Raw genomic sequence first — 24,096 nt, 5'->3', positions numbered from 1 at the left:
GGAGCTGACCTTTTACACATATTTGCCTGACATGTCAGAGAAGACGATTTAAAACTGGTTCTTTGTTCGTCTCCAAGTCCCGGCGACAGCAGCCCGGGAGGGTAACTGGGCCTGGCCCAGGCGTCCCAGGCCTAGACCCAGGACAATTCGATCTCATAGCCGCGGAATGGGACTGGCACCGTCTCTGGGAGAGTGTGGCCCGAGGCCAATCTCCTCACCCTCACCTCCCTCCTGGCCAGGTGCGGCTCCGGGAGCCCCAAATCCCGTGGCTTCTTTTAAAGCTCCCCTCTAATTAGAAGCAGCGGTGAAATCACTTCAGTGATTTTATCTGTCATGGGAAAGCAAACCCTAAACCAAACCTCAGTTGCCCATCCCAGAGCCACCAACGCCCCCATTCTTCCTTTAAAAAGTTCTAAATGGAAAAGATAAAGCGCTGGAAGCCATAGAGGAGTGGGAGAGGGGAAGGGAACTGTGAAAGTAGGAAGAAGGGGGTGGACCTTTGTACAGAAGTGCTAAGTCTGAGTGTGTAAGAGAGAGTGTGTGTGAGTGTGTGTATGTATGTGTAGAGTTTCTCTCTTTCTCTCTACGATGGGAGGAGACTAAACCTAGAAGCCAGAAGTGACACAGAATCATGAACGTCTTCACCTATTGAGCAACAGTTTCATGTGGAATCTAACGCTGAAGTGGCCCCGGGGTTGGCAGAGTCAGATCCGCTAAGGCCAGCCGTGCCCTGCACCTCGTGGGCGGGTGGGGAGGCGGGGACGGCGACCTGTCCCCACTGTGTCCAGGTGCGCGGGGATCATGGGGTCTGGACGCTTCTAGCAGTCTAGCCCTTCCCCAACCCCCGACCCCCACCCGGGAGTGGAGACTCCCCCAGTTCGAAAGTTCCGAGGGGAGGCTAGCCATGGGTCGAGCTTGTCGATGCCCCACCACTGGAGTGCGAAAACACACTCACACTCGCATCGCACCCAGCACATCCAGCAGTCAGTCAGCTTCGGTTCCCGGGCCAGGGACTGACCGGGAAAGCGGGTTGGGGCTGTTGGGAAAAGCTGGAGCTGATGGCAAGATTGCCGCGGCTATAAATCCATCACTTCCCAGGTCAGCTCTGTGCGGCGCTGGGACTGCAGCTGGCGGAGTGAATTCCTGGGCCAGCGCGCATGCGTCGGCAGGTAGCAACCCAGCTCTTTATGACCAGGTGAGATGTTGGTGAGCAGGTAAAAAAGGAGGATTTGCCTAAGCGATTCCAGGGAGCTGGCCCGACCGAGCCCTCCAGCCCATGCCCGGCGGGGACCAGTCGCCAGGAGCGCAGAGCCGCGATGTCCATACTTGCCAAAATGGGGGACTGGCAGGTACGGGGGGTTTGCCTTGGCTGGGGTTGAGGTGGGCAGGGGTGGAGTAGGGGAGGGGGCCGGAGCGGGGAGGAGGAGAGGAAGCGCCGTGGCCCAGGGCAGGGGAGTCGTAGGTGAGGCGCGCCTGGCAGCGCCCAGGAGAGCTCCCAGGAGACAGCGAAGACAGGAAAAACGGGCGCAGGCAGCGACTGCGGTGCTGGGCGCAAAGCGCGCAGCCCGCGGGGCCCGGCGCCGGGGAAGTCCGGCGCACGCTCCACAGGTGGCCTGGTGGGTCACTTGTGGTTTGTGCTGTGGCCGTTTCCCCCACCCCCCTCCCACCTCAAGTAGAAACTTGGGAGGATGACTAATTCGGAAGGGGGGAGGGAGAAGGCCTGGGGTTGTGGTGCGCGGCGGTGAAGGTTTTCAGCCTGCTGCGCCTGCGGCCTCGCCCTAGACCCCAGGGTTGAGTGTTGGACAGGTTCTGGTGCACCTGTCTCTCTTGGTACCCCCAGATTTCGGGAGATCTAGGATGTGTGAAGAATGGAAAGGGGTCCAGATGGCTGGGTCGCGGAGGCAGCGTGTTTCTGTAGGAGATACAAAGTTTGCCCGAAGTTTAGCTAGCAACTCACTCCACTTCCTGAAATGGGTTTTTGCCGCCTGGGCTACGGATGAGGGAGTGTGAGAATGGTGGGTGAGGAGGCAGGGGGGTGGTGAATTTGCCAAAACCAACGCCTGTGGAACTTGGCCCTGCTAGGCCGCGGACACCACAAGGCATCCAAGGCTTGGCTCCTGTCCTTCCTGAGCCCCGGATTCCGACCCTGGCCAAGGAAGCATTTGTCCAGCTCTCTCCTTCCAACTTCCAGACACTTTCCCTTCGGGAAACAGAGCGGCTCTGGCCAGGATGGTGGCGGTAAAAGGCTCTGCCTGTCGCCGATTTCATCATCAGAACCGCGAGGCCCTGTTTTCGCCCCAACCAAGAGGCCTGGTGAGGGTGAGATTCTGTGTGCCCAAAAGCCCAGGGGACAATTCGAATCTAATGCCCTGAACTTCCCCCCAAAAATCTGAGGCCTTGCTACTCCTGGTCGAGTTCTTTCTCTTGTTTCAGATTTAGGCCATTAAAAGTAAAGTTCTGAGAAGTGCAGTCTTCACTAAGCTACCTGGAGTTGGAGAAAGAAAGGCCTTTTGCGTTCTGTACTTTTTTCCCTTGGATTTATTACTTTTATCAAGAGTGAGCTCTTTTATATTCTTCTCCCTAGTTAAGCCTCACTAAATGGTATTTCATCCGCAAGTTTAGACAAACCTCGTGGTTTAAGGATGCAAATCCCATACCAGAGACAAATCCCGGGAATCCACACCTTTCCCTTCCTGACCCTGTGGGCTAAAGGCCCTTCCTAACTCTCTTATTTGGAGGCTGAAGACTGGGGGAGTCCTTTCGGAGCAGTCTTTGGGTTTTCTCCTCAAATTCCAGTGAATTTCGCTGCAGAATTCCTAGGCCGTGAGAAGGTGCCTGTTGAGTAGGTTTGGCCTGGGACTGGGCCTTCTGTGGGTTCGACTAAGGTTTGAAAGCCGCGAGACTGCCGCAGGAGGAGGAAGGAGGGAGCCGCGGGCCTGGCTCTTGCGGGCTCACAGTTAGGCAAGTGGCTGGAGGCCTGGATCTCGGGTGGGGCGAGCGGATTTGGGGCCCGGAGGGGCCGAATCTGATGGGCTGGGCCTGTTGGGCTCCCGGCTCCCACTGGGCATTGACAATCGGAGAAAAGAGAGTCGTTCTGGCCCCTCACTGTCTCTTTCTCTTTGTGACTCTGTCTCTCACACAAATACTCCCTCTTCCCCGCGACGCCCTTTTTATGCCCCCCACGTCAGGCCTGGATCTCCGACCTCCAACCCCAGGCCTGGCGCTGCTGTCCCGGGGTTCTGGCCCCGCCGGAGCATTGACATGCAATGAAGCGACTTAGCGTGGTAATGACGCTGGCATAAATGCAGCTCGGCTGGCTCCAGAGGCGACCCTGGCGCTCGCCCGGGCCTTTCATCAGCGCCTACACCGGGGGCGGCAGTCCAGAGCCGGCAGGTCCCAATCTGCACCTCAATGGCGCCCTCGGCGGGAATACAACAACAGTTTAGCAGCCCCAGCGGGTGCGGAGCCGGAGATCTGTTGGGCGCGGGGCAGCGGGGAGGTGGAAACGGGGGTTGAAATGGGGTGGCAGAGGATGGAGGGCGGCCTTTCCAAGCCCGCAGAGGGCAAGAAAGCGAAACTTGGAGTTCCCTTAAGCACACCGCGGCGACGTCTACGGAGTGTAAAAACCCATGCTCTCAGGCCTAGGGTTTGGCCTGCTCAGGCTATGGCCGCTGCTGGGAGGGTGTCGGTGCTCCTGGCAGCCCAGATCCTGACTTCAAACCACTGCACTGGCGACAGGCTGGGACAGCCCTGCAGGGTCTAGCCCTGGAAAGTCGACCATTTTCTGGACGGAGGGCGGCGCCAAGCCTCCAGCCCGGTTCAGCCGAGGAATTGTGCTCAGTTCAGGTAGGGCAAGGGAGGCCCAGAGCATGGGGAGGGCTTCCTGGGTCTGTAAGGCCCCTTGCCAGCTCCGGCTTCTCCCTAGCTTTTTGGAGCCTTCTGCCTACTCTGCTAGGTTTGGGGAGTTTGCTGAGGTGTTTGGAGGGAGAATTCCCCTTCTGCAGCCTTGGGTGGAATGGGGAGTTCTCCCAGCTCCTGCCTTCCTTCCACCTGTGAGGGAATGCTCCAATCTGCCACAGTTCCCATCCCCTTTTAGGAACGCCCGGTGGAAATATGGGAGGCCTGGAGATTTTCGAGAAACAAGCCCAGATGAATCAAAGGTCCTTACTAGAGCAACTCTGAGGCGGGACCTAGTGTAGTTAAGGAGTTTGTACATATAGCAGAGAGAAAAGACAGAGGTAACTTTCTTTTGGAGGACAAACGAGGAAGCTCAGCCAGGAAAATTAATTACTCTGTATTTCCTAGTGTCACATTAGGTCCTTTTCTTTTTTTTTTTTCTTACTTAAAAAAAAATCCCAAAACCGAAAGGGATAAAAGCCCCAGAGGACCCAGCAGGCCCCGGTGAGGAGTCCAAAAGCCCGGACTGACCAGTCTGGACGAGTAGGTGGCTCCCAGGCCTCCAGGTTCCGCGGCAGCCGGGCTCTGCCTCGCGAGCACGCCCGCGTTAGTAGCATCACCAAATCATGAAGGAACTCTCCCTGCTTTAATTAAAAAGGGGAATCTTGGGAAAACTAGAGCAGATTAACACAGCTAAAAGTCGGTTCCCGGTGATTTATTTTGATGCACGCACGAGACGGTATCTAGACTTGCAGGCACACACACGTCTGTTTTTAGGCTCAACTTCAGAAGCGGGTGTGCAGTTCCATAGGAGTTCTGTATTCGTGTCCACGTTGCACCCAGGAAACCTTAGCCTGAACACCAATTTGAACTGTCAGTTGGCCCTAGCTTCACACAAACAGGAGAAAAATTGTTTAACCCCTGGAGCTGTCAAGTAACCTCTTCAGGGTACAACTTTTATTTTACACGCTGCAATTAAGGGATTGCAAACCCCAGCAGAGCCACCGGAGCCGCTTGGCAGAATCTCCAACCTGGGGGAAAGCTCAAAGCCAATAAAACTCCCAAGGCGCTGCGGCCCGAGGGGGTGGCTGCCTCGAGCGGAGGCGATCCCTTGTTGGGAAAAAATCCTGGAGTGACTTCGCCGGTCTTGGTTTGGTGGTTATGTTTAATTGCGAAAGGGATAATGATTTCTAATAAAATTGCACGGGGCCAAAAGGGCAGCTCGGATCGTGGTAGCAGGGTTAAGGGAGAAGTGCTAGAAGCTGGGCCCCAGGCGTGGCGCTTGGACCTTGAGCAGTGCCGGGCTTTGCAGAAGGCATCTCTGGAGAAAAGGAAGCGGAGAAAGAAAGGAAGGGGAATGTGGCGGAATTGGGGTAAGAGAGGGGGTGTTGGGGCAGGGCCTCGCGGCGGAGCTCGAGGAAGGTTTTATCAGTTCGCAGGCTGGAGTGCGCTCTAGAAGCAAGTTCGCGGCGTAGAGAGGCCTTTATACCTGTGTCGGAGCGGCCGGCGGCAGATTGTGGTACTGGCGAGCAATTGGACTATTGTTGATATGCTAATGAGGCGATTAGGCTGTTGGTAAAGAGCTGGAAAAGGGAAAAGTTTCTACCATTAGAGGGAGATCTCCGAGCGCACACGGGAGCTCTTTCCCTTCTCTCCTCCTCCTCGCCCTTCTCCTCGCCCTCCTCCTCCTCCTCGCCCTCCTCTTCCTCCTCCTCCTCCTTGCCCTCCTCCTCTCCCTCCTCCTTCTCCTCCTCCACCTCCTCTCCCTCCTCCTCCTCCTCCTGCGCTCACCGCCGGCAGCCAGCACTTTGCGCTCACCCAGAGAGTAGCTCCACTTGGGTGCGAGACCGAGAGGGGCATATCCGTTCACGCCGATCCATGAAAATGCTTTGGAAATTGACGGATAATATCAAGTACGAGGACTGCGAGGTAAGCGCGACGCCGGCTCGATCATCCGTGCGGTCACAGGCTCCGAGCTTGACCCTCCCTCTCCTCCTCCTCTCCTTGCAACCAGCTGCGAAACGCGGGTGGGACAAACTTTCCCCAGCGCAGCGCCCGTCCCTCGGATTCGCCCGAAGAACGCGGGGGAGAAGCTGCAGAGAGAGGACGTGGATGCTCCCTTCTTTGGTTTCCCTACTTTGAAGCTCGTGTCCCACTTTACTCCCCTTTCTGACCAATTTTGGCTGTGCCTAAGAATGGGGGAAAAGAAGAACATGGGCTTTTGAAGCAATTGCTGGCAACTGGGCACTTGCCTGTGCACTCCTCGTGTTATCTTCATCGAGATTGAGGGCCCAAGTCACCAGGAACAGAAAGGAAAGAGAAAACTCTTTTCTCTCTTGAACTTCCTCTCCGATCTTTAATATTCCTTCTTCTTTCTATTCATTCATTCATTCATTCATTCATTCTTTCTTCCCCCCACCCCCACTTCTAAAGCGGTTCCCTTCTCGGCTTTAGAGACGGCCCCCCCACACTTCGCTGTGAGCTGGGCTGCATCTTCCTGTAAGCGGGTTCAACTTAAGACCACTGATCCCAGCTGCGGGGCTCGCTCCAGATCCTCTGTGCTTCACGAAGTTCTAAGTAGCTTCTCCCTCTGAGCTACAGGATCGACGCACCCCACGGGGGTGTGTGGGGGTGGGGTGGGGAGATGTGCTGCGCCGAGCCTGCTGGCCGCTGGGTGCGGGAGCACCAGCTTCTGCACCAGCCCAGAACGACCGTGGGAATCCTTGCGCGGCTGCAGACCACCTCTGGTGCCGCAAGCCCGCTGGGCCGACAGAGCGCGCCGCTTTGGAACCCATTTTAAAACGCAGAGTCCCCTGAGCTCGCCTTCTTGAGGCAGCAAGGGAGACCCTAGCGCGACCTGTCCACCCGCAGGAGGCGCTGGGAACGGTTACAACCAACACTGTAATGAGCAATGAGTCCGAGAGAGGGGTTGGGGTGTGTAGGGCTGGAGATTACCTAAATAAATAGGTGGCAGTCCCAACTTTTGCTGTTTTTTTTTTTTTTCTTTTTTGGCATTTGCAGCTGAGAATGTTAGGCAGGAGGTGTGTGTGCAGGCGCAGGGGCGGAGATCTTGACTTCACTCGAAACCAGAAATTGGGTTTATGTGAACGATGTGTCACCCGCTCCCTCCTCCCTTTTCTTTCTGAAGATTATTTTAAATCGTTCTCCTTTCAGGCCCCCCACCCCGGTAGATGGGGACGGGGTGACATCCCACGGGTACTGGCTCTTCCCTGGGGGGGTCCTGTCGCGCTAGAGGAGGGGCGCAGGGACCCCACGTCAGACCAGTCGCTTTGTTTTCGAGGCTGGGGGCGAGCTTTGCGGGCAGGTAGGAATGAAGCCGAACCCCTCAGTCTCATAGGACAATTCATACTGTACTGGTCTGGGCTTTGGCCGGAGGCTTGGGCATTTCACTTTCGCAGAGGCCGAAACCCAGCTCCAGGTGTGGGCGCCCTCGGCGGGCGGGGTCCGAACCTCCGTGCGGCTCTAGGTGCCGACTGGATGGGGTGGGTGGCTAGGTGGGGGATGAACTTGCACCCCTAGAGGGATCCTGTGGGGGCAAGTGTGAATGCGTGTGTAAGCGAGGCAAAAAAAGATGAGAGAGAGAGGAGAATAAAGTCAAAGCTGTTTCCACAACTTTGGCCGTGGTGGGCAAGCGCCGGAGCGGGGATTTCGGGTTTCGGAGCTGGCTTGGGGCAGTCTGATTGTGCCGGGGCTCTGTAGGGACACGCAGGAGGCGAGGTGCCGCTTGTTCTGACAACCTGGCGGGTAGACTGGCAAAGGCAGCACGCCGGGAGAGCTAGTCGTGTCATCTGGGGGGGCGTCAGGCGGGAGTGGCCCAGCCAGTCGGACGGGTTTTTGCCGGGAGCCGCGAGCCGGTGCCAGCGGCGCCCGGGCTGGGCCGCCTAGCGTCTGTGCGCGCCCCGGCCCGCATCCCGGCTCCCGATCCGGAATCCCCGGCCCCAGAGAGCCGAGGGCAGAGCGACGGTGGCCGGGGAGCGCACGGTGCCCCTGTCCGAGGAAAGCTCAAGAGGAGGCCGAGGAGAGGACCAGTGCAGCGAGCGGGCCGGTCCCGGGCAGGGCGCCGGGTCATGGAGGAGCCGCGCAGCAGCGGGCAGCCGAGTCCCGAGTCCCAGACTCGGCTGCGAAGCGGCGGAGCCCGCGGCCAGACAGGGCCGGGAAGCGCCTGCCGCGCCGAGAGCCCCACGAGCGCCCGGACGCGGTCCCAAGCAGCTCCTACCCGCTACGCACGACCCCCGCTGCATCCCGAGGTCTGCCCCAGCCTTTTAGGTCTGATTGTCCTCGCTCGCTTCCTCTCCCCTTCCCCCTCCCCCGCGGCCTCCCCCTCCGTGCGCTCCGGCTGGGCCCCCTCCCCCTCCCTCCCTCCCTTCCTCCCTCCCTCTTTCCCTCCCTTCCTCCTCTCGGGCTCTCCCTCCTTCCCTCCCTCCCCTCTCCCCACCCGGGGCTCCTCTCCCTCGCCCACACTTTCTTTCTCACACACGCACGCAGACACATTCTCCCTCTCTGCGCTCTCTCCTTCGGTCTCCCTCTCTGCCTCTTTCTCTTTCACTTTTGCATGCCCTGCAACCTTTTAAAATGTTGCCCCTTCCCTGTGATTCGCCAGACGCCGCGCCGCGGCCCCCCGCGCGCTCGCCCGCTCCCTCTCTCGCTCGCTTTTTGTCTCTCGCGCTCCCTCTCCCCACTCCGATTTGCTACACTGAGACTCCCGTCAATGGACTGCATTGAGAGCCGGCTCCGGCGCGAGTTGCCTCTCCGCTTCACGCTCGATTTCCAGGCATTCTTCCCTTATTAAGTATTCGTGTAATATTAATAGTCATGAATATCTGCTATTAGGAGGCTCCAGGAACGCTGCCCAGCGCGGTTATTAGAAGCTCAAGCGAAGCCGCCGCTAAGAAAAGAGGGGGAGACACGGATTAAGGAACACGCACGCACCCACACACTCACACATACTTTTTCCTTTTTCCTTTTTTGGGGTTTTTCATTTTTAAAGAACTTTGAATCATAACCAGTCGCGGCAGGATAGAGACCGTGGGTTCGACCAGCTGAAGGCGCCGCGCGAATCGGTGGTTCAAGTTCGGATGGATCCGAGCCGGGCTCCCGCGCTCCGGGGAGCGTCGGCGCCGTGACTGGAGTCCTGGGTGGCGCGGGGCTCTCGGCGCCTTTTGTGTGGGGCGCGCTCGGGCGGCGGGGCAGCCGGGCGCTCCAGGCTTGCTTGTTTTTTTCCACCCTGACTCGTTACCCCAGACTCTTCGCAGATGTTAGTTCACAGTTTTTCAGCCATGGTGAGTCCCATCCCCACCCCCGTTGCTGTTTCTTTAGGAATTGGATTCTGGAAACCTGGTGCCGTGGAGCTGCCCGAAACCTCGGGTTTCACGCCCAGCTTTCCTTCAGGACACCCTCTCCATTTGCATCCCCCACCCCACCTTCCGCCTTTCTCTCGCTCTTTTCCATCCCTAAATCGAGTGCATTACCCCCTACCCCAGCCCCCGCTCGACCTCTCCGAGCACGCAGACCTACCTCGCCGCGGCTTCCCAAGGCGTGTTTCTCCCCACGTTCATCTTGATTTCCTTGAGTCTTCACTTGTCCCCGAGATGTTCTCAACATTTGATGCTTAAACTGTCTGCAGGAAAAGTGCAGCGCGGTGTGCCCCCTACCCTCGGGACCTGCGGCCGAACCGCCGAGGGTTCGCGGTCTCTGGAATCAACTCTCTTCGCTTGTTTTGCAAGGGAATTGCAATAGAGAAACCTAAAGTCAGGCGTTTCTTCTGCCCTTTGGGGCTGGGGTGGAAGGGGCGGGGGGGGGGGGCCACAGCCCCGGGGTGCACCTCTCTCTTTTAAACCCAATAAGGCTGAATCTTTCTATTTTAAACCTTGACTTGACGTCCCCCTTTCCCTATCCAAACCATAAATCGACTCTGTCGAGAAAAAGGCTCCTAACAGAGGAAGCGAAAAAGACAGACCCCGATCCTGCAGTTAAAACCTTCTTTAAGCTGGTAATTTAAACGTGTGTTTTTGTTACAGCCCCTCTGCGAAATATGTTTCTATTTAAGTAGTCATGAAACGGTAACAGTCTTTGAACGTTTATGATTTTTTTCTCTCCAAATAAATGGAAGAGAATAAACAATAACGCAGTGGCAGACAGGTTCAAATCGGGGGAAAAGAAAAGGCCGCTTCTGCTGTTTAGTATTTAGGAGGAATTTTAATTTTGCTTAAGAGAGATTTCACGCTGCAGTTTAATGGGCTGTGTTCCAGGAGACCCTTTTCTATCTTTTCCTCTCTTTGAAAGAAACCCCTAAATAGTCTCTTGTGCCCCCTCCATATACAGTTTCTCTGCGTTGTTCGGTCTGTTTCACTTGAGGGTATTTCCTGAAAAGAACTTAGAGCTGATTTTTTCCCGGCGGCCAGCCAACGGGAACGGGCGATTTCCCACGCAGACTTGTCAAGTGGATTTTGTGTGGATAGTTGTAGCTCGACGCCTGATTCCTTGTTCTTTACCTTTCCTCTCGCTCTCTTCTAGGACCGTCACGACGGCACCAGCAACGGGACGGCACGGTTGCCCCAGCTGGGCACTGTAGGTCAATCTCCCTACACGAGCGCCCCGCCGCTGTCCCACACCCCCAATGCCGACTTCCAGCCCCCATACTTCCCCCCACCCTACCAGCCTATCTACCCCCAGTCGCAAGATCCTTACTCCCACGTCAACGACCCCTACAGCCTGAACCCCCTGCACGCCCAGCCGCAGCCGCAGCACCCAGGCTGGCCCGGCCAGAGGCAGAGCCAGGAGTCTGGGCTCCTGCACACGCACCGGGGGCTGCCTCACCAGCTGTCGGGCCTGGATCCTCGCAGGGACTACAGGCGGCACGAGGACCTCCTGCACGGCCCACACGCGCTCAGCTCAGGACTCGGAGACCTCTCGATCCACTCCTTACCTCACGCCATCGAGGAGGTCCCGGTAAGAGGCCGCGCAACCAGCGCGGGAGGGAACACAGCCCCCTACTTACCTACCCCAGAAAGGATACCTGGAACATACAGTCGGTGGGCCCGGGTTCTCCCTAGTATTTCCTTATAAAAACATTTTATTCGGAGGCGGAGAGTGAGGGACGTTTTGAGGAACCACACAAAGTAGTTGCGAGTTCTACCCCAGAACAATGGTTTCTGGAGCTCCCTCAAACAATGCCTGCATTACCATTTCCACCAACACAGATAAATCAGACGAATGTCACCATTAACAATATCTTCCTCTCGACGACAGTAAACTGTCTCAATTGCTAAAAGATCTACTTCCATCGCTGAGTCTGGCGTGGAGATTTCTCCCTGTCCTGGGAATGATGTTAAATGCAACCAAAAGAGCTCATTAAATGTCCTCAAAATGTAAAAGGAAGTGTAAAAGACACACTAAGATCATTTTAACCGGATTTTATAAGCACAAGTGAAACCTAAAAGTTATGTGTACACCCTATCCTGATTAAAGAAAAACTAAGTAGCAAATCCAAGCAGAGGGACATTAAAATGCAGCCTTCTTCTTACTAGGGGTGCTAAGTGGTGACCTCATAAATCATTAGCTAGGTTCCCAACGCCTATCAGAACCTGCTACACTCCATATTAAATTAAATGTTTCGAGACTATTGGGTAATACATTATTTGAGTTCTAATTTAGTTATCAATAAATGCAGTTTAAAATGATTTCTAAATAAGCATGGCATTAGCACATTTACTATTTACAATGCAAACCAGGCTATTGATAATTTGAAAATACTTTCTGGAATTAAACTTAAACCAGTACCTCTGCTTCAATTCTATATATTTATGGTTTCCTCACAACCCTCCTGAAATGGAATTAGAGCAAGCCAATAATTTTATTAAAGCTGTAAAGGCTTCTGTTAAAGCTGCTTTTCTTTGGAGAGGAAATGTATCTGGATGTGATTTTTACTAAAATGCTATTTCAAATTACTGCATCAAATATTGCAGCAGTATGTCCGTTGACAGTTTAATGATTACTACATTAGATTGTAAGGAAAATGGTCAGATGAACTTACCTCCTTGCTTGGTGAATTTAAAACATTATTTAAGTTCCGTAGGAAAATAGAAAATTTATTACATCTCTCATTTGGCCCAGTTAGTCACTGAAATTTGTTGGTTATGTTTAGCAGCCCTTGCATGGAAGGCAGGAAAGTGGGCACTTGATCCAGTATAAGGTTTAGTGAGCACTGTATGTCTGTATATGTGTGTTCATACTTACATGTTTTTAGAAACTGATACTTAACAGTGCATTTTTTTGGAAGTGAGAGGAGCACTAATTTATATAAGAGCAATTTAAACATGAACTGGGAGTTATGATTATTTTAGTTCCCTTTCCCAAAGCACTCTGAATCTTTTCCTTGCTTGTTCTTTGAAAATATTTGAATTGCAAAATAATGTTGCAAGCTTTTGGAACTACTGTGAATGAGAATTGCTCTACTTTGCAAAAATTTCAAGGTGAATTCTTAACACCTGTATACTCACTCTTTGTGGCAAAATTGGTCAGTAGGAGAAACTAACTAAAAGATTAAACAAAAACAAGGAAACCCAGTTGCTGTTTTTCCCTCTCCCTCCCCCATCTTTTAAGAAAAAAATTCTTTCAAAGGAATTTGGGTCAAGAAAAAGGTTGTTTTCAATTTTTTCCCATTGCTGCAACAGTTAACCTTTAGTAAGTATAACTGCTAAATATTTAAGAAAATCAAATCGATGGTGAAAATTATTTAATCATTAATATCTCAGTGGGGTTTTAAACTTAACAGTCTTCCCTGTATGGACAAGGTCTAGAAATAACACAAATAAAAGTATTATGCCACACTACATTTACTTTATGGGTTTAGGGTGCATGCATAAAGGGATCATATTTCCCCATATAGTTAAAACACAAGAACTGCAGCAGTAGTCATTTCTGAACATTTCTCAATTTAATTATACTTAAATCCAGAAGCACTTTAGGCAAGTTACAAATGAGAGCATTGAGTATAATAAAACCTGTAATAAAGCAACTTAGTACCATCCACCCGGAATCATTGCGATCAGGCACAATTAACAGGAGCATAAATCCAAGACAGAATGGAAAATGTTCGAATCAGTATTATTGTTGGACAAAGACTAGAGAAGGAAGCAATAGTTTTTTAAATGGTAATGCCTGTGTTTGGTAATGATTGCAAAATCTTCTATCTCAGCAGCCCTGGTGCTAATTTGTAAACACAGCCAGACATTATATTGCCTGTCAGTTTCTGCATTAGAAAACATGACTTCATTTTACTTTCTAATCACGTTTTGACTCTAGTGCGCACACGTATACCCATCCATCTGTAAAAAAAAAAAAAAAAAAGAAAAGAAAAAGAAAAACACCCCACACTAACAACAAACCTGCTGTTGGACAACAGGAAAGCAAGCTCAAAGGTTTTTTGGTTTTGGTCATTTTCATATTCCTATCATACCCAGGCTTAGGCAGTAGTCTTTCTAAAAATTTATGTGGAGTTTTCCATAAAGGTGTGTGTGTTTGCTCTTTATTATACTACCTAAACCTTTTCTTTTCCAACACTCTCCTGTTACTCCCGCCCCTGTCATTTCTATTGTGTTTCCCTGGCTTTCGCTGCCTGAACACTGGAATTGCTAAAGTCAGAAGCCGCTGAGGCGCCAATCTAAAGCTAGGTACATTTCTAAATGTTGAACTGACTGAGAATGATTAGGTGCTCCAACACTTGATTTAATTTCCAAAGAAAGTTTTATTCCCCATCTCCACCCCTTTTAAACATGGATTATTTGCTGGAGGAGGAGAAATTGGCCATGGGTGTGCAGTGAAACCTCTTGAGTTGCAAAGCCCCAAATTCCAATAAGCCAAGATGAGATGTTTATATATAAATGTCATTATACGGGAGGGGGAATTTTGATTCTACACCTTCCCCTCCTCCCATCTTGCAGGGAATATTCATTTCCTTTTGTTTTGATGATACACTTACATCCATGTGTATCCTTTTGTTGCAGCATGTAGAAGACCCGGGTATTAACATCCCAGATCAAACTGTAATTAAGAAAGGTAAGCCATTTCCTTCTGCATTCCAAGCATGTCCTTACAGGCAGAGTGCTATTTAAAAGAACTTGCAGAGATGTGTTTATTTTTTCCAAATAGGATTTCCTAAAGGCTCAGAATTAGCAAATAGATAGGCACAGAACAGCAATGCTTAAATAATCAGCCTTCAGTATGTTGGTAATGCCAACAGGCTAGCTTTGTTCTGACTCATGATTTGACCATTTAATTTAGTTTAATGATATTTGGACAAACACACAAAATGTACAGTAGTTGAACTGATTTGGAAGTGGCATTTCAATTTTGAAACAGTTTGATAGTTTAATCCATTGCCTGGATGAAGGTTAAGAAGTGTATAATGCTAAAATAGTACAAATAATTTAACATTAATGTAAGAACAGATGATAAGAAGCACTCTTTAGTAGAGGAAAAAAACATTCATGTTCTTCAATTTAGTTTCTTGTTAGCTGTTTAAGGGTCTTAGAACTTTGTGAATTAGGTTAACAAAATTTTAGCTTTTGGTTAAAATTAGTATCTTGAAGATGGGAGGAATATTAGCATACTTGTTCAGAGGAGAAATTGTTAGAAAAGTGTCAAGTGATTTGCATGGATTTGTAATCTGTATTGTGTTTAGTGAGTAGAAATAAAGTTTACTGAATTAAATGCTATTCACTCTTGGTAGCAGCTTTTTTTTTGGTTATGGTGGCAATGTTACATTTCAGGATTCTAGGCACCACCAGAGGACGATGCTATATAAAACTGTTCTCATTTCTAACCCCAATCAGTATATTGTTAGCTAGTTTAAAGTTTCATTTTTGCATCTGTGAAGTCTTTGTCACGTCAAATTAGATGTGCAAGGGATAAATCTTAAGAGATGCTCTTTCCAAGTCGACATGATAATTGGCTCTTTTATTAGTAATCTCTCAAGAGTTCGTTTAACTCCTATTGTCTCTATTAGCCTCCCCAGAGCTATTAATGTCACAAGTGATCTATCCAAAACCTAGAGCCCCCCACCTCCCTATACCTCTAGCATATCCCCATTAAAGAACGCATAAGGAACACTGTGATGAGATTGTGTGCATATGATGTCTCCAAATGGAATTTTAAAATACAATGCATACTGTACTTAAATGGTTGTGAATGCATCTGAATTACACTGGTGCTGAGAAACGTAATGCATTAGTATACTTTCTGCAGGTCTTCTATTTTTTTTTTTTCTAACAGTGGTGAGTCCAGCAATAAAGAGCTTATGGTTTTAACTAGGAAGTATATATACCCACTTTCCCAATAAAGGCGCTTTAGCAGAGGACTGTTAAGTATTTACTTAACAAAAGGGCACATTGCTAGTATTCCACTGTAGGCCTGTTCTTCCCTCCCCACTCCGCAGTTCAAAACTGGCCTTGGAATGGATCTCCAAAACTGAGACGTTTTCAAAATTGAACATAGGAAAGGGCCTATTTATCAAAAAGACGGGACGTGTGGTGTGGACAACAAAATCCACCACTTCCCAGCGTGGTGCCTCAATTAAAACGCTCGTTTACAGGGTGCTTTAGCCATCTAAATTGTCGGCTGATTTTAATAATGGGTCTTTGAAGCAGTTTTTCCCCGACACTAAAACCCCACCCAGCAAAACCCCTGAAGTACAAGTAACTTGCTCTCGGTTTGCAAATGTAATTCCCTCCCCTGCACCCTGAACCCGTGGTCCTGGACCTCATCTGGGGCCCACTCCGCTCGGATGCTCAGCGCCTCAGGGGTCACCAATTTCACCACCCATCTCTAGAGAGCACCCTTGACGGCGAAGGGGAAAGGGTCAAGGCAGAAACGCAGGCCAGGCTGGCTGGGGGAGGGCAGGGCCGCCTCCCGGCCGCCGGGTGAGGTAGGGAAGGGCTCGAGCCCGAGGAAGGGAAGTAGCAGAGCCACAGAATTTCAGAGCCGGACGGAAAAGCGGGGACTGTGGCCCAAAGCCTGGGATCCGGCCCTGGCCGGGATGAGGGCCGGGGTCGGGCAGGATTTGGGGGTGATCCACGACGCCCAACACGCGGCCTCCCCTCTGTCTCCGCAGGCCCCGTGTCCCTGTCCAAGTCCAACAGCAATGCCGTCTCCGCCATCCCTATTAACAAGGACAACCTCTTCGGCGGCGTGGTGAACCCCAACGAAGTCTTCTGTTCAGTTCCGGGTCGCCTCTCGCTCCTCAGCTCCACCTCGAAGTACAAGGTCACGGTGGCGGAAGTGCAGCGGCGGCTCTCACCACCCGAGTGTCTCAACGCGTCGCTGCTGGGCGGAGTGCTCCGGAGGTGAGGCCCGGCACGGCCCCGCCCGCCCCGCCCCGCGGCCGGGGGAACCACTGCGCTTGCGCCGGGGCGGTGGCGGCGACGCAAACAGGCCTCGCGCCGCGGCCCTCCCTACGCGGGAAAGGAAAGGGGGCGGGGAGAAGAGCGTAGAGCCAAGTGGGCGGGATCTGGGGGCGGGGGAGCGGGCGATGCGGCGCGCGCCTGCGCTCTCCGCTGCTTTCCCGCGAGCGAGTTCTGGTGCGCGCTTCGTTCGCTGCCGCGCGCTCGCGGAGTCCTCCGCTCCGCCCTCCTCCTCGCGCAAGCGCAGCTCGCTCCGCCGCGGGCTCAATCCCGGCCACTGCAGCCGCGGGGCGCCGTACAGCCACCTTTTCCCTCTTCGCGCACACCTTGCAAGCCCAGGAAAAGTTCCTCTCAGGCTCCTCGCTTTGCCTTACCTCTCTGAGTAGGGTCTCCGAGGGTAACCGGTCGTGCCTTGTATAGGGTTTTAATAGAATGGCTTTTAACTAAAGGAAGAGAATGGTTGTCCTCTTGAGTCCGCACGCCATGCTTTCCGGTCGCTGTCATCTCCAGACCCCCATACTATAGGCGTTTGCATATGATGATGATTCCCAATTTACTGAGGCCCTGATGTGTGCCAGGCTGCGTGCGAGCATGTTTACGTGCATTGTGTGTAGTCACTACCAAGGAATGCATCTGTTACATACATAGCCAGGGATTCTTACCTCACCCCTGCGAGGTTTGAGTGATTCATTTAGTAGATAAGATTTTATAAGGGTCAGCAAGGTAAAGCACCTTCCCTTAGGGCAGTTTTCTCCCTGCTGTGGGCTTCCTACCCCTAGGATTCCACTGCACGTTGTGAGTTGTGGGGCTTGTGTTGAACTTACCCGGATAATGTTTCTTCTCTTCTTTAATAATACTGAGAACTTCATTGTTTTGACTGTTATTCATTTACTTATGTGTTGATAGACCCACAGTTCCTTTCTAGTGGCTATATCCCGCACAAAGCCTATAAAGATCATTTTTTGGAAGGGTTTAACATCAACCATTCTAGTCTTTTCTTCCTCCTGCACAGTCATTTTGCTTTCCCTTTGTAGTCTTTCACTGACACAGATCTTTTCCTTGCCCTCTGCTTTTTCCTTCCCTTCCCCCATCCCCAATATTGGAGACTGTTTACCTAGGGGAGTATAATCTAATCCACACAATTAAAGAGCACTTGAGTAGGGAATAAAATCTGAAATTAATTAATTTGCTGTTTTATTTAAACAATTTATCTTAACCACTTTCTGATTATGGGATTCTATTTAGACATCTGTTTAGAACTGCCTCCATTGTCTCTGAAATCAGTGAAACTTTTAGGGCTGATATCAGCTTTTGACATTTCCAGTTAGGCTGGTGACATGGCACGTAAACAGTTGGCGAAACGAATTTCCCTTTGGGGCTAGAGCCAGAGCAAGAAACGTGAGAGTGATGATAACTTTGGTTACTCGGAACAACCTAACAGCATATCTTGCAAAGACAGTTTTAAAGACCCCATTGGGATTGGTGTGATTGTAACAGCAGAGAAAATATACAGGAATCAGTTGAACTCAATACCTCAAACCCTAGAGATGGGGCTGTGTTTGTTTGTGGTTCTTCTTTAGAGAGTTGGGAAATCAAAACCTTCCAACCTGCCACAAGAGTTGCAATAATAACTGAACGTAGGGGGTGCTTTACAGTTTAACAGGCGTTTATCTCCTATGAACTTCTGTACTATTCCTAGGTTTCCCTCCTTTAAATGTCTTGGGGCCAAGCTTCTCAGTTTTTGAAAGCACATTTTAGGAAGCTTTCAAAATGATTTTAATGTGGTGCAGAGCAACCCAATGTTTTCTAAATCCCTTTCTCGCATATATTTGTGAAACAGGGCGAAGTCTAAAAATGGAGGAAGATCTTTAAGAGAAAAACTGGACAAAATAGGATTAAATCTGCCTGCAGGGAGACGTAAAGCTGCCAACGTTACCCTGCTCACATCACTAGTAGAGGGTAAGCGAATCCACTTGCTAACTAGAAGGAACTTCCTTCTTGGAAAATGGATAATATTTAGTGGCCAGATGTTTGGTCGTATTTTATGTCAGTTGGGCAGTTTCATCTTTGCAGAGAATATAGCCAGATGTGAATGGAATTATTTCATGGCAAAAAGAAACATTTGCATGTACTCCTATACCTCCATCCTTCTTCCTTCTTTTCCTCTACCATAAAGTTACACCTCCCCAGCCTAATTCTGAGCTAAACAACGCACAAGTTTAAGAACTGCACATTCTCCAAGTTTGTCTCCTTTAAAGGGCTCAGCAGTAAATAACTTAAGTTATTCTGACATCTGCGTTTGAGAAATGCGTGACCATTACTTCCTGAATTAATTTGGGAATCTTTGACCTGCGTCCTGATTTAAGACCATCCTGAAAGCTCAGGGTTATGTGCCCTTTCAGGTCTTTGTTTTCCAAACATATGCTCCCTTATCTCTTTAATTGTGCTTTTCTCTTGGAGAAGAAGAAAAGTGAGCAATTTTTGATTCTGGATGATGTGGATATGGAAAGATAAATATAAGCATTGCAAAAAGTTTCTCCTGGTAGCTTTAAACATACATACACCCTTCCAAATGCCTCAAAACAAAAAGCCAACCCTTATCCTCACTCCCTGCTCTAGATAACTGCCACCGGAAGCCACTCATATTCCTGCTGCCTCTAGATTAAGTTTTTCTGATACAAGATTGGCCTAGGTTTTGGTGTACTGGAATGAATCTATAGCTCTCCTGTGTTTTTCTTTGTGTCCTATTGTAAATATCTCATGCTAACAGGGAAAAAAAAGTTACTTTAATTACCAGACAGATTTTAAAACTAGCATGTATATATATTTAAAGAAGTCATTTTATTTCATTCACATCTTGTATTTGAGGAGATATATTACAATTGAATTTAAGTTCTGGCTTTGTAAATTATTTTTTAAAATGTTTAAAACCATATATTTGAGGAGGAATCCTATGAATTCTCTTTGTTGATGATGTCAGAGATTGATAGTAATATAACTGTTTAGAAAATCAGCAATTGTTCAGTGCCAGAAACTCAACTACAGTACCATTACATTAAAAATCATAACAGTCCATAGAGAACCCACTATTCATACTCCAAAAGAATTATAAGCCAAGAAAATGGTAGTGGTGGCTTAAGGTATAGCGTGGAGTTCGTCTGGGTTTGGGGGTTGAGTTCTGTAGCAGGGAGGCAGTTTCTGGAGAACTGTTATTGTTTGTGATCCGCTCCATTTTATGGAAACAAGCTCTGCGGAGAGGGCTTTGATGCTCTAATTGGCGCATGCGTTCTTCCGGAGCTGGAGCTAATGGCAGGAAGCCCTGCAGTAAAAACCAACTGGTTCAGGAAATTAAAACCAAAGATTCGAAAATCAACAACACAGACAGACTCAGTGGAGTGACCCTCAAATCCTCTTGGTTAATCGGTTTGGATGAACAGATAATTTATGTGATCAAGTTAAAATGTAACCCCTCAGTTGTTCCCTTGCAGAAAAGCTCAAAGAGTAATTATGAATATCATTTATGAATGTGTTGATAGGTGTGAAGTTGGAATACAAGAAGCATTTTAAAAGAGAATTTGGAGAAGTGTCATTTAGGGTGGGGGATGGGACTGGAGGTTGGTGGATGAGATTTTCATTTTCAAGTCTTCTTGGCCCTCTAGGAGAAGTGGTCATTTTTCCTGATAAATGCATCCACCAGATCCTACAGAGAAGGAAATAAAATGCCTGAAATGAGAAAACAAGTAGTTTGTGTTTCCTGCAACATCTGGGGTGAAGGGAATTAGGGAGTTGGGAGTGGGGAGGAAGTTAGGATCCCCACTCTTCATTCTCTCGCACTGGCTCCCTCCTCTCCCCTCTTGCCAGGAGAAGCTGTCCACCTAGCCAGGGACTTTGGGTACGTGTGCGAAACCGAATTTCCTGCCAAAGCAGTAGCTGAATTTCTCAACCGACAACATTCCGATCCCAATGAGCAAGTGACAAGAAAAAACATGCTCCTGGCTACAAAGTAAGGCATTTACCTCTATGGGGTCTCTGTGTCTCGTTGTCAAGAGAAAGAGAAACAAAAATCGTTTTTGCTCTTCCTTCTCCCTTGTTTTCCTTTTGTGTTAATCAGCTTTGTTGCAGTTATAACACCATCTTATATATAGTCTATGTTAAGGAAGAAATACAGGTGGGATTCTTGGGCGCTCCCATCTTTTTCCTCTCATCTGTCCCATTTACTCATTTTTTTTTTTTTTTAATGAGTGTGTATGGGAGTGGGTTGTAGGAGGGGTTTGACTGAAGTTAAGGGTGGATTTGTGACTATGTTGTTTCAGAAAGACCAGAATCAAATCCTCAAAGGGGTAACAGGCTTACCTATATCAGTTTTTGTATCCTATCAATATGTTCTCCAAGGGCAAAGATTAAACAGTGGCCTGCAAAATGTGCAAGCCAGAAGCTGTCCTAGTTTCAACCCTAATCTGTTATTCCATTTCTTACCTTCCTTTCACAACCCCTTCTCGAAAGTGACACACACACACACACACACAGACAGAGAGAGAGAGAGAGAGAGAGAGACCCACACCCCACATAAGTTTTAGCCCACAGGCGAGAAGTCAAATAGATTTCAAAATGGCCCAAGTTATATTCCCATCGGTGCCTGGGCTGAATAGGCTTCTCCAGGTGATGTGTGAAAAGAAAATGACTGTTTTGATGTGTTTTCTGGAAATTAAAAGGCTTGTTTGGAAGCCCTTAATTATCAAAGTTGATGTCACAGGAGGGCATGGAAGCAGAGGGCAGAAGCTGAGGCCTTGGGTGGGACCCTGTTTCTGGCCTGGGGACATCAGCTGGCCTTGGAGAAGGGAGCCAGCCCAGGCTCCTCATTCATCCCCCTCCCCAGCCCCCCAGGCCAGGCTGCTGCTGCCCCTGGAAGGCCCCAGCTAGCCCTTGCTTCCCAGATTCAGAGACAGAGCTTCCTGAGTGCAGGCCTCATCTACCTCTGCGAAATTTCAACTTTCTCTTTCCCCAGGCTTCGTAAGCACACCCATCTCCACAATTTCCCTGCAGTATTTTTATTTTGAGCTATGTGGGGAAAGAGGAGGAATGGGAAATCGAAATGTCTGTTTCTTCTTCCCAAACACTACTTTGAATTATCTCCAAGTAACAGGGCTTGTGTGGGCCCGTTTTGTTTTTTTGTTATTCTTGTTTTTTAAAGGCAAAATAATCCCAAGTAAAGTTTTGTCTCTCTGTCCACATTGACCTGAATTTGATTTGAAGGTGAACGAGTGTGGACTTCATTCTACAAACTGCTGCTGAGGTCTCTCTAGAGGAGCAGGGAAGAGGGTCTTTATGACATTTTGAATAGGAAGGCTGATGGCTGCAGCATAATGTTCGCAAGATGCTACTGTTTCTGACTTCCGGTCTGCGTGACTCCTTTCTTTCTCTTCCAATGTGTGAAATGGTTTCCTATGTCTAGGATGTTTTGTGTGAGGGAGAAAGGTGGGAATAAAAGTTTACCATATCTGAGAGGAAAGAGAGAGAGAGTCATTTGTGAAGGTAGGAAGTAAAGAGAGATGGTTTAGTGGTCACTGAAAGGTGGCTGGATCTCCCAACATGTGGCCACACTGTCTGTCTCTGGGGTCTTGGGTCATGTCAGGTACCGGCTGGATCCCGGCAGAGGTAGCTGCAGGGAGGGAGGTTTTCTCTTTGCTGCTAGTGCTGCCCATAGTGGAGCCTTATGTCTCTCTCTCTGCTCCACTTGTGCTGCAGACAGATATGCAAAGAGTTCACCGACCTGCTGGCTCAGGACCGATCTCCCCTGGGGAACTCACGGCCCAACCCCATCCTGGAGCCCGGCATCCAGAGCTGCTTGACCCACTTCAACCTCATCTCCCACGGCTTCGGCAGCCCCGCGGTGTGTGCCGCGGTCACGGCCCTGCAGAACTATCTCACCGAGGCCCTCAAGGCCATGGACAAAATGTACCTCAGCAACAACCCCAACAGCCACACGGACAACAACGCCAAAAGCAGTGACAAAGAGGAGAAGCACAGAAAGTGAGGCTCTCCTCCCGCCCCGCCCCTCCCACGCCTCACCAGCCCCCCGCGCGCCCACCCTCCGGCGGGTGACAGCTCCGGGATCAGCAACCCTTCCTGCTGCTGCTACTGCTGCTGCTGCTGCCGCCGCCGCCGCCGCCGCTGCCCTTGGGTCCCCCCGAGTCTCCGGGACTGCCCTCTCGACTGTCAGTGGGGCAGCCTCTCCGACTCTGCACCCGCCTCGACCTCCCCACCCGCTCCCACACCCCTGTGCCCTCATGTGGAGCCTAAGAGAACAGAACAGGCCGTGAAGCCAGCAGAGAAAAGTTCTGCCAAGTTTGTGAACCCTTTTTTTTTTAAACAAAACAACAAATCAACAACAGCAACAACAACAACAAAAATTAAAAACTTTTTTCTAAAAAAAAAGTGAAAATAAAAAAAATTATATGCGCTTCATGGGACTGAGTCACCACCTTCCCTTACATACTTCAGTTCAGATTGTAGCCATACTTAAAAAAAAAAAAAAAGCCAAAAGATGATGACAACATTTTTATCAGTATTGTGAATAAACTTGAACACAAATACACGAAGTTCCATGTCATGTCTTCAGTTGTAGAAGTTTTTCCTCTTTAAGGTAAAGCGACCAACTTGAACTTTCTCTGGCAACACGATTCGCAGTTATATAAGGGAATCAGTGTTCACGTCTCTGTATATATTTATTTATGTGTAATTTAATGGGAATTGTAAATATGGTGAGTCTGTTTTAAGCCTTTTTTTTTTTATTTATCTGATCTTGTTTACCTCTTGTTTAGTGGGTTTTGAATCTTCCCTATTAGTTCTTCATGTGGTTCATGGTACTGATTTAGAAATCCAGTGTTTGGGGGATTTTTTTCTCTGGGATTCATGAATTTAGCCCTGTTGTAGCATGTTAAAGGTGACAAACAGCTGGACAAATTTTTAAAAAGTAAAATAAAATTTTATCTATAATTAGTATTATTACATTTAGCTTTTCATTGAACCGAAAGAAAAAAAGTGATATTGGACCCTGGAAAGATTTTGAAACTTGAGTGGTTTGATAACCCTTCTATGTATTGTAGGGAGAAAAAAAAAAGTTTATTTTATTCCACTGTCCTCCCTTAAAAGCATCATTTGAGCAATAAATGAATATTGTCTTTAAACCAAGGGTTAGGGAATTTTCCTCTCTCTCTCTCTCTCCTCTCTCTTTCTGTTCAAAGAACTTCAAACATTTGGGACCACCTGGTATTCTGTATTTTCACTGGCCATATTGGAAGCAGTTCTAGTTGCATTGTATTGAGTTGTGCTGGCAGTAGTTTCCATGCCTGTCAATGTATCATAGTCCTTTGTTGCCCAGATAAATAAATATTTGATACGCTTTATGTCGATTTTTTTTTATTCAGTGGCTGTCTTTACCCAGGCGTATTTTTGTTCTTGGCAGTATTTTTTATTCAGTATGGTTACAGTAATTGAGTTTAACTCTCCCTTGGCAATTGCTCCTTGCAATAAGCAGCTGAACCCATTGTTTCCCTCAAGTATAATAAAAACTTACTTTCAACTTGGAGTTCAGAGCAGGGTATCATTTAGATATTCCACTGTGTCTGTATTCAGACAAATGACACAATAAAACCCAATGTATTCTTTTGGATAAAAGATTGTTTGTACTGCTAAAGGAATGACATACTGTCTTTTCCTTACTAGAAACATTAATTTTATTATTAAAAATAAAGTTTTATTTTATTTATGTTGATCCTTT

General features: G+C 49.1%; 1 protein-coding gene and 2 long non-coding RNA genes across 5 annotated transcripts, besides 14 other annotated features; 1 reads left to right on the top strand and 2 right to left on the bottom strand.

Annotated features, from left to right (window-relative positions):
- TFAP2A (transcription factor AP-2 alpha) lies at positions 1,108 to 24,090 on the top strand. Of its 3 annotated transcripts, none has more exons than NM_001042425.3 (7): positions 1,108 to 1,349; positions 10,432 to 10,866; positions 13,923 to 13,974; positions 16,028 to 16,259; positions 18,157 to 18,275; positions 20,178 to 20,319; positions 22,062 to 24,090. In NM_001042425.3, the coding sequence occupies exons 1-7, from the start codon at positions 1,317 to 1,319 to the stop codon at positions 22,348 to 22,350; spliced, it is 1,302 nt and encodes a 433-aa protein (NP_001035890.1). In that variant the 5' UTR covers positions 1,108 to 1,316; the 3' UTR covers positions 22,351 to 24,090. The 3 variants fall into 3 exon arrangements, with proteins under 3 accessions (NP_001035890.1, NP_001358995.1, NP_001027451.1); NM_001372066.1 differs by lacking the exon at positions 1,108 to 1,349 and adding an exon at positions 5,693 to 5,826; NM_001032280.3 differs by lacking the exon at positions 1,108 to 1,349 and adding an exon at positions 8,376 to 9,197.
- Positions 1,202 to 1,859: an enhancer, noted in NCBI's record as "H3K27ac-H3K4me1 hESC enhancer chr6:10419141-10419798 (GRCh37/hg19 assembly coordinates)". NCBI's record gives its function as "activates a minimal SCP1, AML or CMV promoter by ChIP-STARR-seq in naive H9 embryonic stem cells {active_cell/tissue: H9 hESC(naive)}" and the evidence as "EXISTENCE:reporter gene assay evidence [ECO:0000049][PMID:30033119]".
- Positions 3,178 to 3,835: an enhancer, noted in NCBI's record as "OCT4-NANOG-H3K4me1 hESC enhancer chr6:10417165-10417822 (GRCh37/hg19 assembly coordinates)". NCBI's record gives its function as "activates a minimal SCP1, AML or CMV promoter by ChIP-STARR-seq in primed H9 embryonic stem cells {active_cell/tissue: H9 hESC(primed)}" and the evidence as "EXISTENCE:reporter gene assay evidence [ECO:0000049][PMID:30033119]".
- Positions 3,836 to 4,493: an enhancer, noted in NCBI's record as "H3K4me1 hESC enhancer chr6:10416507-10417164 (GRCh37/hg19 assembly coordinates)". NCBI's record gives its function as "activates a minimal SCP1, AML or CMV promoter by ChIP-STARR-seq in naive and primed H9 embryonic stem cells {active_cell/tissue: H9 hESC(naive and primed)}" and the evidence as "EXISTENCE:reporter gene assay evidence [ECO:0000049][PMID:30033119]".
- TFAP2A-AS1 (TFAP2A antisense RNA 1) lies at positions 4,598 to 8,449 on the bottom strand. The gene is made up of 3 exons (NR_033910.1): positions 8,400 to 8,449; positions 5,716 to 6,086; positions 4,598 to 5,480 (listed from the first exon to the last, which is right to left on the bottom strand). It is a non-coding gene; the product is annotated as a TFAP2A antisense RNA 1 (long non-coding RNA).
- Positions 5,152 to 5,811: an enhancer, noted in NCBI's record as "OCT4-NANOG-H3K4me1 hESC enhancer chr6:10415189-10415848 (GRCh37/hg19 assembly coordinates)". NCBI's record gives its function as "activates a minimal SCP1, AML or CMV promoter by ChIP-STARR-seq in naive H9 embryonic stem cells {active_cell/tissue: H9 hESC(naive)}" and the evidence as "EXISTENCE:reporter gene assay evidence [ECO:0000049][PMID:30033119]".
- Positions 5,812 to 6,469: an enhancer, noted in NCBI's record as "H3K4me1 hESC enhancer chr6:10414531-10415188 (GRCh37/hg19 assembly coordinates)". NCBI's record gives its function as "activates a minimal SCP1, AML or CMV promoter by ChIP-STARR-seq in naive H9 embryonic stem cells {active_cell/tissue: H9 hESC(naive)}" and the evidence as "EXISTENCE:reporter gene assay evidence [ECO:0000049][PMID:30033119]".
- Positions 7,850 to 8,209: a silencer, noted in NCBI's record as "silent region_16900". NCBI's record gives its function as "represses an Ori minimal core promoter by ATAC-STARR-seq in GM12878 lymphoblastoid cells {active_cell/tissue: GM12878}" and the evidence as "EXISTENCE:reporter gene assay evidence [ECO:0000049][PMID:35858748]".
- On the bottom strand, positions 12,840 to 16,265 carry TFAP2A-AS2 (TFAP2A antisense RNA 2). The gene has a single exon (NR_145448.1). It is a non-coding gene; the product is annotated as a TFAP2A antisense RNA 2 (long non-coding RNA).
- Positions 15,904 to 16,521: an enhancer, noted in NCBI's record as "H3K27ac hESC enhancer chr6:10404479-10405096 (GRCh37/hg19 assembly coordinates)". NCBI's record gives its function as "activates a minimal SCP1, AML or CMV promoter by ChIP-STARR-seq in naive H9 embryonic stem cells {active_cell/tissue: H9 hESC(naive)}" and the evidence as "EXISTENCE:reporter gene assay evidence [ECO:0000049][PMID:30033119]".
- Positions 15,904 to 17,723: a biological region, named in NCBI's record as "BRD4-independent group 4 enhancer GRCh37_chr6:10403277-10404476".
- Positions 15,984 to 16,093: an enhancer, noted in NCBI's record as "active region_23966". NCBI's record gives its function as "activates an Ori minimal core promoter by ATAC-STARR-seq in GM12878 lymphoblastoid cells {active_cell/tissue: GM12878}" and the evidence as "EXISTENCE:reporter gene assay evidence [ECO:0000049][PMID:35858748]".
- Positions 16,224 to 16,603: a silencer, noted in NCBI's record as "silent region_16899". NCBI's record gives its function as "represses an Ori minimal core promoter by ATAC-STARR-seq in GM12878 lymphoblastoid cells {active_cell/tissue: GM12878}" and the evidence as "EXISTENCE:reporter gene assay evidence [ECO:0000049][PMID:35858748]".
- Positions 16,317 to 16,611: an enhancer, noted in NCBI's record as "tiled region #6139; HepG2 Activating non-DNase unmatched - State 10:DNaseD, and K562 Activating DNase unmatched - State 1:Tss". NCBI's record gives its function as "activates a minimal TATA promoter and a strong SV40 promoter by Sharpr-MPRA in HepG2 and K562 cells {active_cell/tissue: HepG2 | K562}" and the evidence as "EXISTENCE:reporter gene assay evidence [ECO:0000049][PMID:27701403]".
- Positions 16,524 to 17,723: an enhancer, noted in NCBI's record as "BRD4-independent group 4 enhancer chr6:10403277-10404476 (GRCh37/hg19 assembly coordinates)". NCBI's record gives its function as "activates an origin of replication core promoter dependent on BRD2, P300/CBP, MED14 and CDK7 cofactors, and independent of BRD4, by STARR-seq in HCT116 cells {active_cell/tissue: HCT116}" and the evidence as "EXISTENCE:reporter gene assay evidence [ECO:0000049][PMID:35650434]".
- Positions 20,661 to 21,202: an enhancer, noted in NCBI's record as "H3K4me1 hESC enhancer chr6:10399798-10400339 (GRCh37/hg19 assembly coordinates)". NCBI's record gives its function as "activates a minimal SCP1, AML or CMV promoter by ChIP-STARR-seq in primed H9 embryonic stem cells {active_cell/tissue: H9 hESC(primed)}" and the evidence as "EXISTENCE:reporter gene assay evidence [ECO:0000049][PMID:30033119]".
- Positions 21,203 to 21,745: an enhancer, noted in NCBI's record as "H3K4me1 hESC enhancer chr6:10399255-10399797 (GRCh37/hg19 assembly coordinates)". NCBI's record gives its function as "activates a minimal SCP1, AML or CMV promoter by ChIP-STARR-seq in primed H9 embryonic stem cells {active_cell/tissue: H9 hESC(primed)}" and the evidence as "EXISTENCE:reporter gene assay evidence [ECO:0000049][PMID:30033119]".

Source organism: Homo sapiens, chromosome 6 (genome assembly GCF_000001405.40).
Source record: "Homo sapiens chromosome 6, GRCh38.p14 Primary Assembly".
NCBI classification, from domain to species: Eukaryota; Metazoa; Chordata; class Mammalia; order Primates; family Hominidae; genus Homo; species Homo sapiens.
This window is presented reverse-complemented; position numbering and strand designations above follow the sequence as displayed.

Bases quoted from the DNA above. Each gene is read 5' to 3' on its own strand.
- TFAP2A (NM_001372066.1), top strand. From the start codon at position 5,776: ATGAAAATGCTTTGGAAATTGACGGATAATATCAAGTACGAGGACTGC. The intron at 5,827-10,431 runs GTAAGCGCGACG...GCTCTCTTCTAG, and splicing joins TCAAGTACGAGGACTGCGAG to GACCGTCACGACGGCACCAG. The intron at 10,867-13,922 runs GTAAGAGGCCGC...CTTTTGTTGCAG, and splicing joins ACGCCATCGAGGAGGTCCCG to CATGTAGAAGACCCGGGTAT.